At 44.9% G+C, this 17,373-nt stretch overlaps 1 protein-coding gene across 7 annotated transcripts in view, besides 2 other annotated features; it reads left to right on the top strand.

The window, feature by feature from the left end:
- RFT1 (RFT1 glycolipid translocator homolog) overlaps positions 1-17,373 on the top strand; it is a 63,583-nt gene that overhangs the window by 4,188 nt on the left and 42,022 nt on the right. For 6 of the 7 annotated variants that reach the window (XR_007095765.1, XM_011534215.4, XM_011534214.3 and 3 more), the window contains exons 2-7: positions 254-339; positions 2,408-2,524; positions 3,685-3,874; positions 4,448-4,549; positions 6,227-6,364; positions 14,340-14,418. Coding sequence is in view for 6 of the 7 variants with exons in the window: in XM_011534215.4 (XP_011532517.1) it covers positions 254-339; positions 2,408-2,524; positions 3,685-3,874; positions 4,448-4,549; positions 6,227-6,364; positions 14,340-14,418 (712 nt within the window). In the remaining variant the exon portion in view is untranslated. Of the gene's footprint in view, positions 1-253; positions 340-2,407; positions 2,525-3,684; positions 3,875-4,447; positions 4,550-6,226; positions 6,365-7,541; positions 7,628-14,339; positions 14,419-17,373 lie in introns of those variants that run through there. The other variant, XM_011534216.4, reaches the window with a different exon arrangement.
- Positions 10,715-11,914: an enhancer, noted in NCBI's record as "CDK7 strongly-dependent group 2 enhancer chr3:53148350-53149549 (GRCh37/hg19 assembly coordinates)". NCBI's record gives its function as "activates an origin of replication core promoter dependent on BRD2, BRD4, P300/CBP, MED14 and CDK7 cofactors, with strong dependence on CDK7, by STARR-seq in HCT116 cells {active_cell/tissue: HCT116}" and the evidence as "EXISTENCE:reporter gene assay evidence [ECO:0000049][PMID:35650434]".
- Positions 16,839-16,958: an enhancer, noted in NCBI's record as "active region_19953". NCBI's record gives its function as "activates an Ori minimal core promoter by ATAC-STARR-seq in GM12878 lymphoblastoid cells {active_cell/tissue: GM12878}" and the evidence as "EXISTENCE:reporter gene assay evidence [ECO:0000049][PMID:35858748]".

Genomic DNA, 17,373 nt, shown 5'->3' with positions numbered 1-17,373 from the left:
TTAATAAATTAGGGAGCCTTCCAAGTGCCTTCCTGGGTTCTTTGACTACTGCACGGGAGTGCTGAGAGATCCCATGGAATGAAATTTCAGGAGAAATGCAGACAGGTTGGGCGTCTTAGAGGAGAGTCTCCATGAAAAAGCTGCTGTATGTCATTACATCACATTAGGAAGAACAGCCACATTGTTCTCATTTCAGCTAAGTAAACACTTCTAACGTCATTTATTCTTACGTATTTTTCCTCTTTTTCTATAGGTGTTGTTTCGGTTGATCACCTTTGTCTTGAATGCATTTATTCTTCGCTTCCTGTCAAAGGAAATCGTTGGCGTAGTAAATGTAAGGTAGGAGGAGATGCACCCTGGCACTGTCAGAGTTCACCTTCCTAGCCAGGCTTTCTTCAAACTCTGTACCTGTTTGTCATCCTTGGATTCTAGAAGCATGGACCTTTATCAGAAGCAGAATGTCTTAGCAGTAGGCTGAGGAGAAGCGTGCAGGAGTGGAGGGACGCGCAGGCGATGTTGCTTTTAATGGACTCATGGAGTGTTTTCCATTAGCAGCCTCCAAATGCACATTTCTTTGCCAGCTGTTCTGGTTTTCCTGCTCTTGGAAGTCAGGAAGGAGAAGAGTGGGAGTAATTCATTAAAAACTCTCTCTCAGATATAATCCTATGTTCTTGTCCTGCTGACAGCAAAGGAAACAGAAATTCAGTAGTTTGTGAGGATGCGCTTCATAATGGCAGGGCTGGAGCAGCCACCTTCCTTCCCTCCTCAGTGATTTTATAATTGGGATATGGCAACTGGGATTCGAGCTTGAGTCTTTGTCATCAGTTTCTTGGAGGCTCTTGGAAAGATGACTTCTTTGTCTTTTAGACTCAGCTTGTTTCTTCTACTCGCCTCCTTTCTGTTCAAGGACACCCACGCATATTTTGTCTTCACAAATGACACAAAGTATATGAAATGATGTGAGTGCTCAGAATAGCTCAGCTTCTCAGGTGTGTCTTCATGTCCTGATAAATAAGACAATATGTTCCAGACAGCATTTCATGTCTAATACTTACCAAACATATACTCTTGGCTCTGGTCTCAGAGCTTAGTGGCAGGACTCAAGCTTTGAGCAAAGGAATCATCTGTGGAGTTTTGCACTACATAGTGCTGAACAGGGGCCCAGGAATCTGAATTTTTATAAGCTCCTTAGGTGATTTTGAAACAGGGACCATTCTTTGAGAAATATGTTTTCTTTTCCTCTTCTTCACCTTCTTCTTCTTTTTCTTTTTTTGAGACGACAGGCTTTTGCCCTATCACCCAGGCTGGTGTTCAGTGGCGCCATCATGGCTCACTGCAGCCTTGACCTCTTGGGCTCAAGCGATGCTCCCGTATGAGCCTCCTGAGCAGCTGGGCCTACAGGTGTGCACCGCCACACCTGAATAATTTTTTTATTTTTTGTAGAGATGAGGTCTTACTGTGTTGCCCAGGCTGGTCTCGAACTCCTGGGCTCAAGTGATCCTCCCATCTTAGTCTCCCAAAGTGCTGGGATTGTAGGCATGAGCCTGAGAAATATAGGCACTTGGCCCTAAGAAATACTGTTTTAAAAGCAGGAAGGAAGAGGGGCAAATCCTCCTAGGGGCTCAGATTTTTCTCCCCAGGCAGCCTTCCTGAGATTGGCAGGTCCTGCTTTGACAGCCCTTGTCTGGCCTGCCCTGCTCCCCTGCTTAAGGTTTGGTTCCATCTCCTTATTTGCAGTGTTCCACAGAGGCACTGGGTAGCAGGATAATCCTTGGACAACCCCAGAGACCTTAACCCTGGGCTGTCCCTACTCTGGCTTCACCCAGACGGCTGTCTATTGAGGAGGGGAGATCTCAGCTACTCCTCGCTAAGATGCAGGAAGGCTCACCCAGGTGCTGCCCACCTGGGAGGTACCCAGGCACGCCTTGCTGATCTGGGTTGCAGCAGCCTCTGTAATGGTTGCCAGCCTTGTTGCCTGTCTTGAGATTCTTTTGGCCAGAGCCTCCACTCGGTAGAGGCTCAGCTTTTCTCACAGGGGCCATCGGTCACTCGTGTCAGTGTGACCAAGAAGGGTGGGGTTATAATCTTATCTTCTTCTCCTCCTTATGGTCATGGCCACACCTCTGCCTGTAGCCATGAAGGCTGAAGCCTTTTGAGGCCACTGCAGCAGTTTCTATCCTTCACGTAACTGTAGGCACACACCCTCAGGTGTCTTTCATTTGGTTCCTAACTCATTAGTTCTCATGGATCAGACCGGTAGGGGGTCCTGTAAGAGCCCACTGCCTTCCACATCACCACCAGTGGTTTATGACCAAGACTTTATCTCCTCCCTGTTGCTGGAAAAATCCCAGAAGTTCTCTCTATGAAAAAACTTGAGACCTTATTGATTTCTCCCTTTCATTTACAGACTAACGCTGCTTTACTCAACCACCCTCTTCCTGGCCAGAGAGGCCTTCCGCAGAGCATGTCTCAGTGGGGGCACCCAGCGAGACTGGAGCCAGACCCTCAACCTGCTGTGGCTAACGTGAGTTGTGCTTTGGCAGGAGACACGTTTCAGGAAGGCAGGTGTAGTGAGCATTGGAAATGAAACAGTAACACGTGCCTAAAGCTGAATTGCCCCCAGATTCAGTTTCGTCATGGGTTTCTGGGAGCAGGCATACAACAAGACGGGGACAGTGTTTGTGTCAAAGGAACTTCTTGGCTCATTTTCTCTCTGGATATCCAGGAGCCAGGAAGAGGTTCTGGGTTGGGGTTTCTGGGCCAGGTTTCTAGCCCTGGTTTCATCCTCTTTGGAGGTGGTTTCTTGCTGTTTCTGACCACCACTGTGGGCTCCACTTGGCCTGTGCCATCTTTTTTATTCCTAATCTTTTTGCTCTATAATATCTTTTGAGCTTTTAACAGCCACTTAGATTTAGTATTTCTTGAAAGCCTTTTATGGGTTTTATTACATTTTTCTTCAGTTTTGTTATGTGACTTCAGTTCTGAGTCTTTTAGGATATTCTTGAAGATCAAATACATTAGCTTAAAATTGCAATGGCTTTTCTCCAGCTAGGTCCCCACAGGGAGGGCTGGGGTTTGAGGTTATTTCCCAGTGCTGCCCTTGCATAACTCCTTATTGCCTCACAGAAATGACTGTCATGAGGGCTGGTAGGTGTTCATTTTATTAGAGGAACAACTGTTAACCACCCAGTCATATTTAAGTGCCCCATGGTACACATGTGAAACATGCGAAAGGATACTGAGCACTGCTCTGTTGGTTATTTGGGATGCAAGGAACAGCTGTATACAGTCTGTCAGTCATTCTAACAACAGGCATTTTCTTTCTGGGAATTTTGCTTATGGGGTCAGTATGTGTAACCCAGTGGATAGAAGTTTAGGCTTTGGAGTTATTGCAGGATTGGGTCTTGCTTCTGCCCTTGATTAGCTGTTCATGACCTTGGCCAAATTGCCCAGTGCCTGTCAGCCTCAGTTTCATTTTTTTAATGGAGATAATGACAGAGGATCATTGTGAGGTGTCAGTGAGATAAGCGGCGTGAATCATAGTGCCTGGCATGTAGTTAGTATCTTATAAATAAATGGTAGCTGTTTGTATTATAACTATTTTTTTCTGTTCAGTGTTACTATTTTAATATATATTTATATTTATTTTAAAATTTAGTGAATTATTTTTTTCTCCTCTTCTAGAGTCCCCCTGGGTGTGTTTTGGTCCTTATTCCTGGGCTGGATCTGGTTGCAGCTGCTTGAAGTGCCTGATCCTAATGTTGTCCCTCACTATGCAACTGGAGTGGTGCTGTTTGGTCTCTCGGCAGTGGTGGAGCTTCTAGGAGAGCCCTTTTGGGTCTTGGCACAAGCACATATGTTTGTGAAGCTCAAGGTCAGTGCACCTTCTGCTGTGAATGGGAAATGGGAAGAATAAGAAAAAGCGTTGTTTTTTAAAAATGCTTTTATAGGAGAGAATGAATGATTTTTCCAGACTTGCACCTAAAAATGTATTTAGAAAAAGATAACATGGTCAGTTAAGTTCTTACACTTGAAATTTGTCAGATGGGCTAGGCTAAAGTTCACCTCTGTTTCACCATAAATAAAAAACAGATTTGCTAATAATTTATTAGTTCAAGTCAGAATTTAGAAGGACCGTAAAGGTTTTTCAGATTTTTCTAGTGGTTATATTTAGTTGTATACTAACATTAACTTTTCTCTCTTCATCTTTTATAATAGATTACAAAAGAATATATATTTAATGTAAATCTTAAAGCATAATATACTGAAAGATCCATGAACCCACCACCCTACCCAAGAAGTAAAACGTTACTGATACTTATGTCCAGCTGTGTGCCCTGCCCCCACAGCCAGGGTGACCACTGCCCTAGATTTTCTGTCTATCATTCCATTACATCTTGACTTTTTGATGATGTTTGTAAACTGCACCTTAACCACATGTTTGCAGGTGATTGCAGAGAGCCTGTCGGTAATTCTTAAGAGCGTTCTGACAGCTTTTCTCGTGCTGTGGTTGCCTCACTGGGGATTGTACATTTTCTCTTTGGCCCAGGTAAGAATCATGGCTTTTAACTTTTTATATGATCTTTGTTTCTCCAACTGGTTTTTCTTCTTGTTCCCACCGCCGTGTGGTCTGCATTCACAGTACCCATGCCTGTGCAGGAGGTGGAAGCACCAGAAGGGTGGCCTTAGCACTGCTTCTCTAGCTGCCAGGTCCATTGTGTTCCATACACTGAGACCGTAGGTGTTTCTAGGGACCTGGTGAGGGCCACACACTGGACTTCATTGTCAAACATCAAAAACCCCTTTTAGACATTCAGTGGGCAAGCCTGTTTCAAACTGATCTTTGGTCATCTGATAGTCTTGTAAAGGAGAAAAAAATCAGTGGGGGGTGGGGTGGGAATCAAATTGTATATGTATTATTTTCCCTGGATTTCCATCTTTTTTTTGCAGAATAGGTGGAAACTCTGCCAAGCCTGTTTTAAACTTAGTTTGAAATCTCACATAATTCAGAGGGCATGAATCAAGTCAGAGTAGGTATGTGTTCAGTTTTAGCAATTTAGGCTTCATTTCCATCTCATTGTTTCCTAGTTCTAGTTCATATTTCTGGTTCTAATAAAAATACAACTAGAGTACAAGTGCTATTTTTAAAAATGAAATTTAAGATCAGATAGTTACCAGAACATTTTACAGTGCAAAGCAGTTGTAGTTTTCATTAATGTTTAGGAAGATAAATTAAGATTCTTAGTAATGATTTATGTAAAGGGTACTTCTCACAGAGGACACTGGCATCAGGTGGGTGGCTCACAGCAGTGCCGCTGGAGCTTTAAGGGCTTGGAGCATGAAGAAAGAAGGCTGGTGGATGATGGGCTTTGTCTCAGGCATGGTTGGGAGTGGAGAGCAGAGGGGCCCACACCTACTAAAGTGAGACTCTTCTTTTTCCTTGCCCTGTGCCTTTACTACAGGAGCAGCCTTGATATTGCCAGGTTGAAAGCAAGTCTAGAGGTGCCAGTCTTTCTTGAACCAGTGTGCACTGCTGTTCTCAGGAGGGAAAGAGGGTCGAAGGGAGCTTGTGAAAAGGGGCTTTTTTGGACTTTCCTCCTCAATCTGCAGACAAAACCCATCTGGCTGCTCCTGGCCAGAAGCCATTCTTTTGTCCTGGATGGGTGGAGGGAGGGGTGGGCCCTCTTATCACCCTACCCTTTCTTCCCCTATCTGTAGTAGCTCTTGCCCTGGCGAAGAGGAGAGAGCCAGCAGCTCAATTGTGCTTTGTAATCATTAATGGCACAGGTTTCCGGGGTTTATAGAAAACCCACAGTCCTTGATGACGGCAAGTCCTTGGATATTAACACAGTTAGGATACATAGATCTTTGCAGGGTGCTGACTAGGTGGAAGAGCCGTTCCTTTGGCCAAATACACACCTTTTGAGAATGTATCAGACATGGCTGTGGTAATTGAGCTAGTGTACATCTGTTATGGAAATTACATTCTGCCTGCCGAGAAGAATTATGTTCTTCCAGTTAAGTGAAGTGTTGGGAACACTTTGCAGGTAGATGCTGCAGTGGAGTTGGGTCTAAGTGACTAGTGCCATTTCCCAGAGGGTAAGGCATTGCTGAATAGAAAGTGCAGTTAATCAAGAGAGTTCTATTACTTGACTGGCCTTTGAGATCAAATTTATAGGCATATCTTAATTATGCCTTTATTAAAACAGTTTATTTTTTTTCTCAGCTTTTCTATACCACAGTTCTGGTGCTCTGCTATGTTATTTATTTCACAAAGTTACTGGGTTCCCCAGAATCAACCAAGCTTCAAACTCTTCCTGTCTCCAGAATAACAGATCTGTTACCCAATATTACAAGAAATGGAGTAAGTAATACATTTTTATCTCTTATCATTTTAATCATAGGTGCTGCTTATCCTTGAGAGAAAGAAACTGCAACTGGTTTATTGTTATAATCATAAATAGAATTTTATAGCTCATATTTATGGAGTGCTTGCTCTATGCCAGGCCAGGGTTTCTAAATCTTTGCACTGTGGACATTTTGGGCTGCTCAATTCTTTGTTGTAGGGGCTGTCCTGTGCATTGTAGGATGTTTAGCAGCATCTCTGACCTCAAACCACTAGATGCCAGTAGCAACCACCCCTCAGTGGAGCACCCCAAAATGTCTCCAGACGTTGCCAAATGTCCCCTGGGGGACAAAATTGCCCCCAGTTGACAACCACTGTGCTAGACCCTATGCTGAATGCTTTACCTGCCTTATTTAATGCTTAACAACAACCCTGAAAGGCTGACACTGTCTGTTTCTATTTTAGGGTTGAGAAACTAAGGCTTAGTGAATAAATACCTGTCCTAGGTGAGGGTCAGAGTGAGGACAGCAGCCTGGAGGGGCTCACATGCCAGCAGAGCACAGGCTCCACCATTGTGTTCCACTCTCTCTATTCTGCTGTGGTTTTGGTTTTCTTCCTCAGTTGACTTCTAGCACACAGTTGAGAGTTCTGAGAAAGTAGGGATGAACCCAAAATGGTCTTTTTTTTTTTTTCTCCTTGAGACAGTGTCTCATTCTGTTTCCCATAGTGGCGTGATCATAGCTCACTACAGCCTTGACCTCCTGGGCTCAAGTGATCCTCCTGCCTCAGTCTCCCAAGTAGCTGGGACTACAGGTACATGCCACCATGCCCAGCTAATTAAAAAATTTTTTTTTGTAGAGACAGGGTCTCACTATGTTGTCCAGGCTAGTGTTGAACTCCTGAGTTTAAGCAGTCCTCCCACCTCAGCCTCCCAAAGTGCTGGGATTATGAGCCACCACGCCCGGCCTCACGTGGTCTCCTTCTGAGTGTCAGGCTAGTCTTTCAGGTGATACACTTTTCCATCTAGAGCACTGTGGATTCTACAGCTGATGTGTGGAGTGGCGCATAATCTTTTCTACTCAATTCCTTCACACTCAGGCCATTGGACTTTCATTTTCTGGCTCTTCTGGGGTCAGTGCTGCTGCCCATGCCACCAGAGCTGCACACGTGATGATATTGCCACGTTGTCTCTGCTAAGACACTTCATGAGCTCCTCCATTCTGGGCACTTTCCCTTCTCTCCATGCTTGTTTGCTTGCCGGATGTAATGCACTCAGTTGTGGTAAGGCACATGCTGGATTTCTCCTTATTCCTCTTGTGATACTTGAAAAAGTAGTAAAATATGTGAGACTTAAGTCTCAGAATTCACAGAATCCTGTTATACAACTTTTCGAGAAAAACTAGATCCTATGTATCAAAGCCAGATATGTTCTCATTTGTGAGGTCAGAGTTCTCCATTCTGCTCAGCTAGATTTTACCTATAACCTAAACCAACAGGACGTTTTGGATACCACTGTGCCTCATCTACAGGCTTAGATGGTTAGGACTCAGGATCGCTTCTCTTGCCTAGAGCTTCTGCCCCCTGCCCCCAGAGCAGGTCCGAGAGTGCAGAAGAGTTCTTCTTCCCCTTAGTGTCTCCTGGTGCCCACCTGTACCAAGCCTGGCAGATTTTCATACTGGGCCTGTCCCTGTGCCCCAGCAGTATTTTGGGAAGGAACATTTGAACCATTAGTATAAGCAAAGAGAGAAGGTAAAGAAAAGAGTCTGCCAAGTGTTTATTAAACTCTGTGGTGGCCAGCTTGAGTGACATGGCAAGACTGTCTCTACAAAAAAAAAATTTTTTTAATTAGCTGGGTATAGTGGTGTGCACCTGTAGTCCCAGCTACTCAGGAGGCTGAGGTGGGAGGGTCGCTTGAGCACAGGTCAAGGCTGCAGTGAGCCATGATTGTGCCACTGCACTCCAGCCTGGGCAACAGAGTGAGACCCTGTCTCAAATAAATAACTAAATAAATAAAACCTGTGATGGGCTCAGAACTCTAAGCTTAGTTTCTTTATCTGTCAAATGGGGATAATAATAGTACCTCACTCCTAAGGCTGTTTTGAAGACCTGATGAGTTGGGGCATGTAAGGTCTTAACATTGTGGCCTGGCACAAGTGGGTATCCTTAAGTGACAACCGATATCACCACCGTCACACTGACACCCTGAGAGCAGAGCTGGCTCTACAGGGGCACCCTAGCTAGGCAGCTCTGATGTTATTGGTGTGGGAGCTCAGTGGTTTAATCTGGCAATATGCTCTGAAAGTACCCATGCCCAGACTGCGAGGACCCAAGCCCTGATCATGAGAAGGCTGTGTGTACCTGTCACACATAGTGATACTGTTCCCGCTGACATACAGTAAGAACATGGCGCCATGCTTGGTGCCATCAGGGATACAGACATGTAGGAGAGGTGATTCCTGGGCCTCAGGGAGGTTCCTGTGGGCTTGAGAGGCACCTGATATAGATCTGAAGCCTGTGGGACTCTCCCCAGACCTCAGGGTCTTCATTTTTAAAGTGAGATTGTTGGCCTACGTGACCTGTGAGGCCCCTCTGAAGACTTCAGGAGTTCCATGAAAGTATTTGAACCTTGACAAAGAGCCATTTACAATAACTGCCATTGACTGCATGTTTTGTGCCATGCACTACACCAAGCACTTTACATGGATTTTGTGTTTAATTCTCTTAGTAATGTATGAGATAAATACTGTTAGCTCCATTTTACAGACAAGAAAACTGAGGTTCAGAGGAGTTAAGTGACTAATCCAAAATCACATAGCTGGTTTTGGACCCACTTCTCTCCACCTTTTGCTGGGGACTAGCTTTAGACTGTGGCTTACCCCTATGTTATGTAGCCTTCCAAAAGAAATTGGCTTATTGCCCATAGTAGTTATTGTTTACATAAAGATTAGGAAGTTCCAGGTGGAACAATTCATAATTCAGGTTTATTATTTTAAAAAGAAGCCCGGGCATGGTGGCTCACACCTGTAATCCCAGCACTTTGGGAGGCTGAGCGGGCAGATCACTTGAGGTCAGGAGTTGGAAACCAGCCTGGCCCACATGGTGAAACCCCGTCTCTACTAAAAATACAAAACAGTTAGCTGGGCATGGTGGCATGCGCCTGTAATCCCAGCTACTTGGGAGGCTGAGGCAGGAGAACTGCTTGAACCCAGGAGGTGGAGGTTGCAGTGAGCTGAGATCGCACCACTACACTCTAGCCTGGGCAACAGAGCAAGACTCTGTCTCAAAAAAAAAAGAGAAAGAAAAAAAGAGGCTGGGTGTGGTGGCTCAAGCCTGTAATCCCAGCACTTTGGGAGACCGAAGTGGGAGGATTGCTTGAGCCCAGGAGTTTGAGACCAGCCTGGGAAACATGGTAAGAACCCGTCTTTACAAAACATGTAAAATTTAGCTGGGCATGGTGGCACATGCCTGTGATCCCAGCTACTCTGGAGGCTGAGGCAGGAGGATCACTTGAGCCCTGGAGACTGAGGCTACAGTAAGCTGTGTTCATGCTACTGCACTTTAGCCTGGGCGACAGAGTGAAACCCTGTCTCAAAAAAAAAAAAAAAAAAAAGAAATGAGATGATTCTGAATGCATGAACGCAGTGTATGACTTTACCATGAGCAGCATGCCTGACTTGACTCCCCAGAGCAGCTTTCTGCACTGGGGACTTCCTTAATGGAAGCTGGTCAAATAATTATATTTACTATCAATTTGACTTAATTGTAAGATTTCCCTTCCTGTTCTTGTAGAATTCCATCTTCTTTAAAGATGCTTATTTAACCTTATAATAAATTAATGATACTTCAAATAATGGCTTCCGTTTATATTCATTGACATTTCTGAGGGATTTAATATGAGAGATATGCTAATATTTAAGTAAAGCTGAGGAATTTGACTCAGCAAGCATGTATTAAACATTATTATATGTTAGGCACTGTACCAGGTGCCCTGAGTGAGGCCCCTACCCTCAGAACTTGCATGGTGATGGAGAGATAGGATCTGTACTCAACTATGCTATAGGACAGTGTGTGTCTAGCGTTATCAAAATAGAAGCACAGAGGAAGGACTGCTGAATTCCATCTAGGAACATCAAGGAAGGCTTCACGGAGGAAGCTTCTTTTGTGCTGGACTTTGACACATGGGTGGGCAGAGGTTAAATGTATATGTGTGGTAGAGATGGGCATTCGTGACCACAGAAGGAAAGAAAATTTGCTCAGTGCTTGTTACCTGCCCATCATTGTGTTGGAATTGGGAATGTAGAGATGACTGGGGTACTTAGGTTGGCTGGAAAATGGGGGAAGGGAGAGAAAGGAAAAGGTGGCGGGAAGTTATGAAGGGAAGTAAACCTGGCTGCCAGGCTAGGGTCAGGTGGCAGTGGCCTCAGTGCTATGGAGCTTGGGTTTAATTCAGGGGCAGTGGAGCCTAATGAAAGGTTTTTGAACAGCACCATGATCAAACTGTCTGTATTGAGGAGCTTGCCGTCTCTTACAGAGTTATAGTGTCTTATTTTTTTTCATTCAGTCCTCATACTGGCTCCATGAGACAGGACTTCTTATCCCATTTTGCAGATGAGAAAGCCAAGGCTTAGCAAAATTAAGTATCTTGTTCACGGCGACATTTACACTAATAATTCAAGGAACTGCAGGTCGAGCCCCAATCTCCAAGCTTGACTCCAAAGCCTGAACCTGCAATGAGAAGGATAGGCTAGAGAAAGAGTAAGAAGCAAAAAAAGCTCATTGGGAGCCTGTGGCAATTGTCCAGGTGAGGAGTAAGGACAGGGGGAGGATGGATGAAAGTGGGAGGATGGATAAAGCTGGGGCAGCATCAATAGCCCCAGAGTGACTGGGATAGGTGGAGCAAGAGGGAGAGGAAGGAGTGCTCTGTAGGGTGGAGGAGGTGACAGAGGGCAGTGGACAGGATGGTAGCCCCACACTCACCAGTGACTCTTGTCATTGTGGTAAGGATGTGGCTGATCATATCATCCTGAGTCAGAAGAGTTTGGGAAGTGGACGAGTGACTCAGGTGAAAGTGTGATGAGCCTCTGAGTTCTGATTCCAGACCTTCCCTGGAGTTACCATCCATCACCTTTTACCACCTTAGCCGCCATTTCTCCGTTAGTACAGTGAGGGCAGTGGAATGGCTTGTTGGTCAGGGTATTCCAGGGAAATTCCTGGCTATTTAGATCAGCTCATCAGTACCAACCCAGCTATTGTGAAATAGGCCTCTTTTGACCGCCCCAAGTGACACCTCCATTCTGAACCTCCATTCTGAATAGAATGGTAACAGTCCACCATATGCTTCCTCTCTCCCACCACTCAGCCCCTGCCTGCAGAAGCCGCATCTCAGATTGGATTTCCTGCCTCTGTGTCCTTAATGAGCACTTTTAGTAAGTGGTGTCACCATTCCTTCTGAACCACAGGCCCATTTAAACCAAAGGCATTAGGAAAATCAAGTATGAGCTCTCAGATTAGGTACACCATCATGATCTCATTCTCCCAAAGAACTTTGTCTTTAAAGAGCTCAATCATCTTCCCAAATCCATTCACAACCTGCAGGCAAACAGGCATCACGAGAGCCTCATGACAAGCAGCAGCCTTCGTTTCCTTTTAAAAGGGGACAGGTCCTGCTTTGCTGACCCCTGGGAGGACCACCACAGCATGGCAAGGGGTGAGGAGCAGTGTGAGAGAGAGAAGGTGCTGAAGCCGGCTGTGGTCAGAATCCAAGTCTGAAGATGACGTGGTCCCCAGTGCCCCCTAGTGGTAGGAAGTTGTCTGGTGCTCTTTGTTCCGGGGAAAGGAGATGGCCTGTTTTAAACATCTTGTGGCCCAATTTCCTTCTCATCAGGGAAGATTTACTCCTGGGCTAAAGAGATAACCTGGCATCTGCTCTAGGTTCTCTGATTCCCTGAGGGCTGCACTGTTTGGGAGGATTCACACTTGCACTCCCTGTGTCTGGAAAAAAGGCTCAGAAACCAAGGAGTAAAGAGAATGGGGGCTAGAAGTGATCCTTGCTTTCAGAGGTGCTCTAGGCTTGCCCTGTCCCAAATGTTAGCCACCAGCCACATGTGGCTATAGAGCATTCTGGAATATGGCTAGTCTGAATTCAGATGAGTCATAAATGCAAAATACATATTGGATTTCAAAGTCTTAATATGAAAAAAAATATTTTTTACAGGGATTACTTGTTGAAATGATAATATTTTGGTTAAATAAAATATATTAAAATTAATTTCACTTGTTTCTTTTTCCTGTGCACTGTGGCTGCTAGAAAATTTAACATTACATTTCTACTGGATAGCATTGCTCTTCACGGATGGGCTTTCTGCCCAGAACAGGGGCCCACATGACTGAGACAGGTTCCAGGCCTGCCCTTGGGCCCACTTCCAGAGCTGTGGCTGACCTTTTGGAGAGGTAGAGTGGGCTTGGCCTTTGTAATTCAGCCCTCCCCTCCCAAAAAGCCCTCTGAAATCCTACCATTGAGAAGTAATCACTTTGGATAATCACTACTTTTCAAAATGCAAGTACCCTAGGATTAAGAACCTAACATCAACCAGGCATGGTGGCTCATGCCTGGAATCCCAGTACTTTGGGAGCCGAGGTGGGAGGATTGCTTGAGCCAGGAGTTTGAGACCAGCCTGGGCAATGCAGCAAGACCCTCATCTCTACAAAAATTTTAAAAATGAGCCAGGCATGGTGGCACACACCTGTAGTCCCGGCTATTCTGGAGGCTGAGGGGGGAAGATGGCTTGAGCCCAGGAGTTTGAGGTTATAGTGAGCTATGATCATGCCACTGCATTCCAACCTGGGTGATAGAGTGAGACCCTGTTTCTAAAACAAAACAAAACAAAAAACCAAACACCTAGTCTAAATATTCTGGGATCCCAGGGTGCCTACAAGATAGAGGAGGGGGCCCCAGAGAGAACTGTGGGAGGTAGAAAAACAGGAGTCAGAGGATACCGAGCTCCCTGGCTGCCTTGCTCTTCCATTTTGTGCTCAGCTCCCTGGCTTTGAGGCCACCTGTCTCTTAATAGGTTGACCTCTACCCTACCTAAGTGTTTCCTTGTCCTTAGGAAATGGGCCATTTGGTGCCGCTGGGAGTTTTATTTATTTATTTATTTTTGAGCCAGATTTTCGCTCTGTCATCCAGGCTGAAGTTCAGTGGTGCCATCTTGGCTCACTGCAACCTCTGCCTTCCAGGTTCAAACGATTCTTGTGCCACAGCCTCCCAAGTAGTTGAGATTACAGACACGTAGCACCACGCCCAGCTAATTTTTGTATTTTTAGTAGAGATGGGGTTTTTGCCATGTTGGCCAAGCTGGTCTCAAACTCCTGGCCTCAAGTGATCCACCCACCTCAGCTTCCCAAAGTGTTGTGATTATAGGCGTGAGCAACCTCGCCTGGCCTGGAGTTTTAGAAGAGTCATATCAGAAATTTTATTTTCTCCGTTCCTCTGTCATACCCATTCTGAGTGGTTTACCTGACCTGCGAAGGCTAAATTTCTTTTGTAATGCAGAAGGGCAGCTCCTATACTTTGTGTAAAAGGGCCCTGGATGGCTGAACATAGCATTACAATGTGCAGTATATGGAGCAGAATTTCTTCTGCAGCCTGGCATGCTTTAGACAGTTTTTAAGGAAAGAACAAACTGTGAGCTGTACGTGTTAGCTGTGGTCAGTGTACTGTGTGGGCCCCCAAGGGACAGCAGCAATTCTTTAGGGGTCTCAGTATATGAGTCTTGGGCAGGCCCTTACAGACTTTGGCTTTGTGTTTAGTAATGTAAATTCTTCTCCAGTGTTTGTGAGATGCCTTCTGTGTGCTTAGCATTGGATGAGGATTCAGTGGAGACTATCCAAGTTGGGATTTAGAGACCAGATTGCATTTGCCTCTCATGTAGCATTGCATTCTTAGACTTGCAACGCCTGTGATGTTTTTGTTTTGTTTTGTTTTCTCTTCTAGGCGTTTATAAACTGGAAAGAGGCTAAACTGACTTGGAGTTTTTTCAAACAGTCTTTCTTGAAACAGATTTTGACAGAAGGTAAGTAGACGGTCACTCTGAATCGTCGGGAGACCATAGTAGAAGGGGATTTCATAGGACTGCCAATTACCTGGGTCCAGACCACCTGTCCAGAGCCTCTGGGGCAGAAGAATTTCAGAAATGGGAGGAGGGGGCTTAATACGGAGAGAGAAACCAACGTCTGTTTAGTTTGATGCTTTACTTAGTGGTCTAATTTAAATCTCTCCACAGCCTTATAAGAAACATATTGTTCCCCTTCATCATGGATGAGGAAACTAAGGGTCAGTGAGGTTGCAGAATTTCTTTAGGGTTTTATAGTAACAAGGAACAGCTTAACTGGGATCCAGGTCTAACTCCAAAACCCCATGTTATATGATTTTTATGAATTTATTATGAAAGTATTATATCAGTTACATAAAAGTATTTTTATCATTTTTTTTTTTTTGAGATGGAGTCTTGCTCCGTCGCCCAAGCTGGAGTACAGTGGTGCTATCTTGGCTCACTGCAAGCTCCACCTCCCAGATTCATGCAATTCTCCTGCCTCAGCCTCCTGAGTAGCTGGGACTATAGGTGCCCACCACCACACCCAGCTAATTTTTTTGTATTTTTAGTAGAGACGGAGTTTCACCGTGTTAGCCAGGATGGTCTCGATCTCCTGACCTTGTGATCCGCCTGCCTCAGAGTGCTGGGATTACAGGCGCGAGCCACCACACCCAGCCTTTTTATCATTTTATATCATTTATTTATATCATTTTATTTTCTTCTTCTTCTTTTTAAAAATTATGTCAATTCCCTAATCCTGGATTTATTTTCTTAAACAACAAAATGCACTTGTATGAGAGTTTGGTCAGACTTTGGTCCTTTCAGTTTACCTACGACAGAGCTCTCAATGTGGAGGGCCAGCAAGGGGCTGGAAGCACATTTAGTTTTTGTATGTATATGTGTTGGTTTACTTATACCCAGCTTTAATTTAAAAAGTGAGATTTAAGACAGCTGTAAGTTGCTGAAGGTAGTAGTTTCTCTCTTCATATATATTTCATATCCATATACCTATTACTGAATGTATTTTTAATCTTTTCAAAAATTTTCTTTTAATTATAAAATATAGTCCCGTTAGAAAAAAATAAGAAAATAGAAAAAATAATACTAGCATTCTAATACAACTGTTATTATCTTGTTATTTTATTTCCCCCCCATCTGTATTTTTTGTTTATTATGTCTCCAAAAGAAAGCAACTCCCCCTATGCCTCGCTTTCCCCATCTGTGAATAAGGGATAGGACCAGGCAGTGTCTGAGGGCTCTCTGATCTTTGAGAGTACACACGTTTCCAGCCTAACCTTATAACTTTGCTATTACAAAAATGAAACCGTTCCGAGGCCTTCTCGGGGAAGGGAGGGTCAGAAGCCTCAGAAGAGCTGAGTGAAGGGCCTGAGCACTTAGCTCCTGGGGAGCAGAGACTGTGCCGTTCACTACTGCCTCCCTGTGGCCTGGTACAGGAGGGCTATTCAGCATGTATTTGTGAATGGGGTAAGAAAAGCAACAACGTAACTATTGTGAAATGTGTATGATGATAGTTCACATTGTTGTAAGAACAGGAAAATCGGTGGAGTGAGTTTTGGAAAGGACGGTTGCTCATATGCATTTTTTTCCTTCCAAGGTTTTAAGAGCAGTTTTAATAAGTTTGAAGGAATGGATCCAGTCCAAGTGATGGCCCTAAATTGGTTTTCTGGATTGCAGACAACACATGTCTCTAGACATGTCTTTGCAGCAGCTGGTTTAAGTTTACTGCAAACTAAAGCCTCCAGAGCTCGACCTGAATGTGGTGCCAGGAGCCTGCTCCATGGTTGGATCCCCCTAGCCTGACTCCCTGACTGGCAGAGTGCCATTAGGAACTTCTCAGGGCCTCCATCTCCTTGGCTGTGAAATAAGGAAGTTGCCTGACTGAGATCCTCAGATTCGATATATTTTTAAAACTACAGCTCTAAAAAAGTTGAAATCCCTGGTGGTTTTTTTTGTTTTTTGTTTTTTGTTTTTGTAGATAGGGTCTCACTCTGTCACCCAGGCTGGAATGCAGTGGTGCAAACACAGCTCACTGCAGCCTTGACCTCTCGGGCTCAAGTGATCCTCCCACCTCAGCCTCCCAAGTAGCTGGGACTACAGGCAAGGCACCTACCATTACGCCTAGCCAATATTTTAATTTTTTTGTAGAGACAGGGTCTTGTGATGTTGCCCAGACTGGTCTTGAACTCCTGGACTCAAGCGATCCTCCTGCCTCGGCCTCCCAAAGTGCTGGAATTACAGGCATGAGCCACTGAGCTCAGCTTGAAATCACTTTTTGTAGTAGCAAAAATGTATGTGCTGTTACTTCTGCCCCCACATTTCCTGAACACTATGCCAGGTGCTGAGAATACTGAGATGAATGAGTAACAGGCCATGGCCTCAGGCATTTCATTCTCTCACCAAAGACACAGACATTTATGTGGTTAACTGTTACTTGGCTGTGAGGTGTGTGGTACTTGGAAACTCATTTCCTAGAGCTTTGCTAGGAAACCAGGGTCATAGAGGTGACTGAGAGGGGCTCCTGCCCTCAGGGAGTCTATAGAATGTAGGAAGGAGAGGTCTATTTTGCCAAAAGACAGGGAGGGCCCTGCAGAAAAGACACACTAGGTGGTGAGAATGACAGGAGCCAAGGTGGGCCCAGCCTGACTCAAAGCAGCTGGAGGGCTAAAACCTGGGAGGTAGGGTGCAGCAGAAGATGACAGGGTGATGAGGGTGAGGTTGGCAAAGGGAATCCAAAATGATAGCTTGGGGTCAGTGTATAAAAGCCCACAAATACAGAATTAAGGAGCCTGGACTTTTTGCAAACATTAAAGAGTCATTTTGGCCCGGCACGGTGGCTCACGCCTGTAATCCCAGCACTGTGGGAGGCCAAGGTGGGCGGATCATCTGAGGTAAGGAATTCGAGACCAGCCTGGC

This window comes from Homo sapiens, chromosome 3 (assembly GCF_000001405.40).
Source record: "Homo sapiens chromosome 3, GRCh38.p14 Primary Assembly".
Classification (NCBI taxonomy): Eukaryota; Metazoa; Chordata; class Mammalia; order Primates; family Hominidae; genus Homo; species Homo sapiens.
Note: the sequence above shows the minus strand (reverse complement) of the source record. Positions and strands in the feature narration are given on the sequence as shown.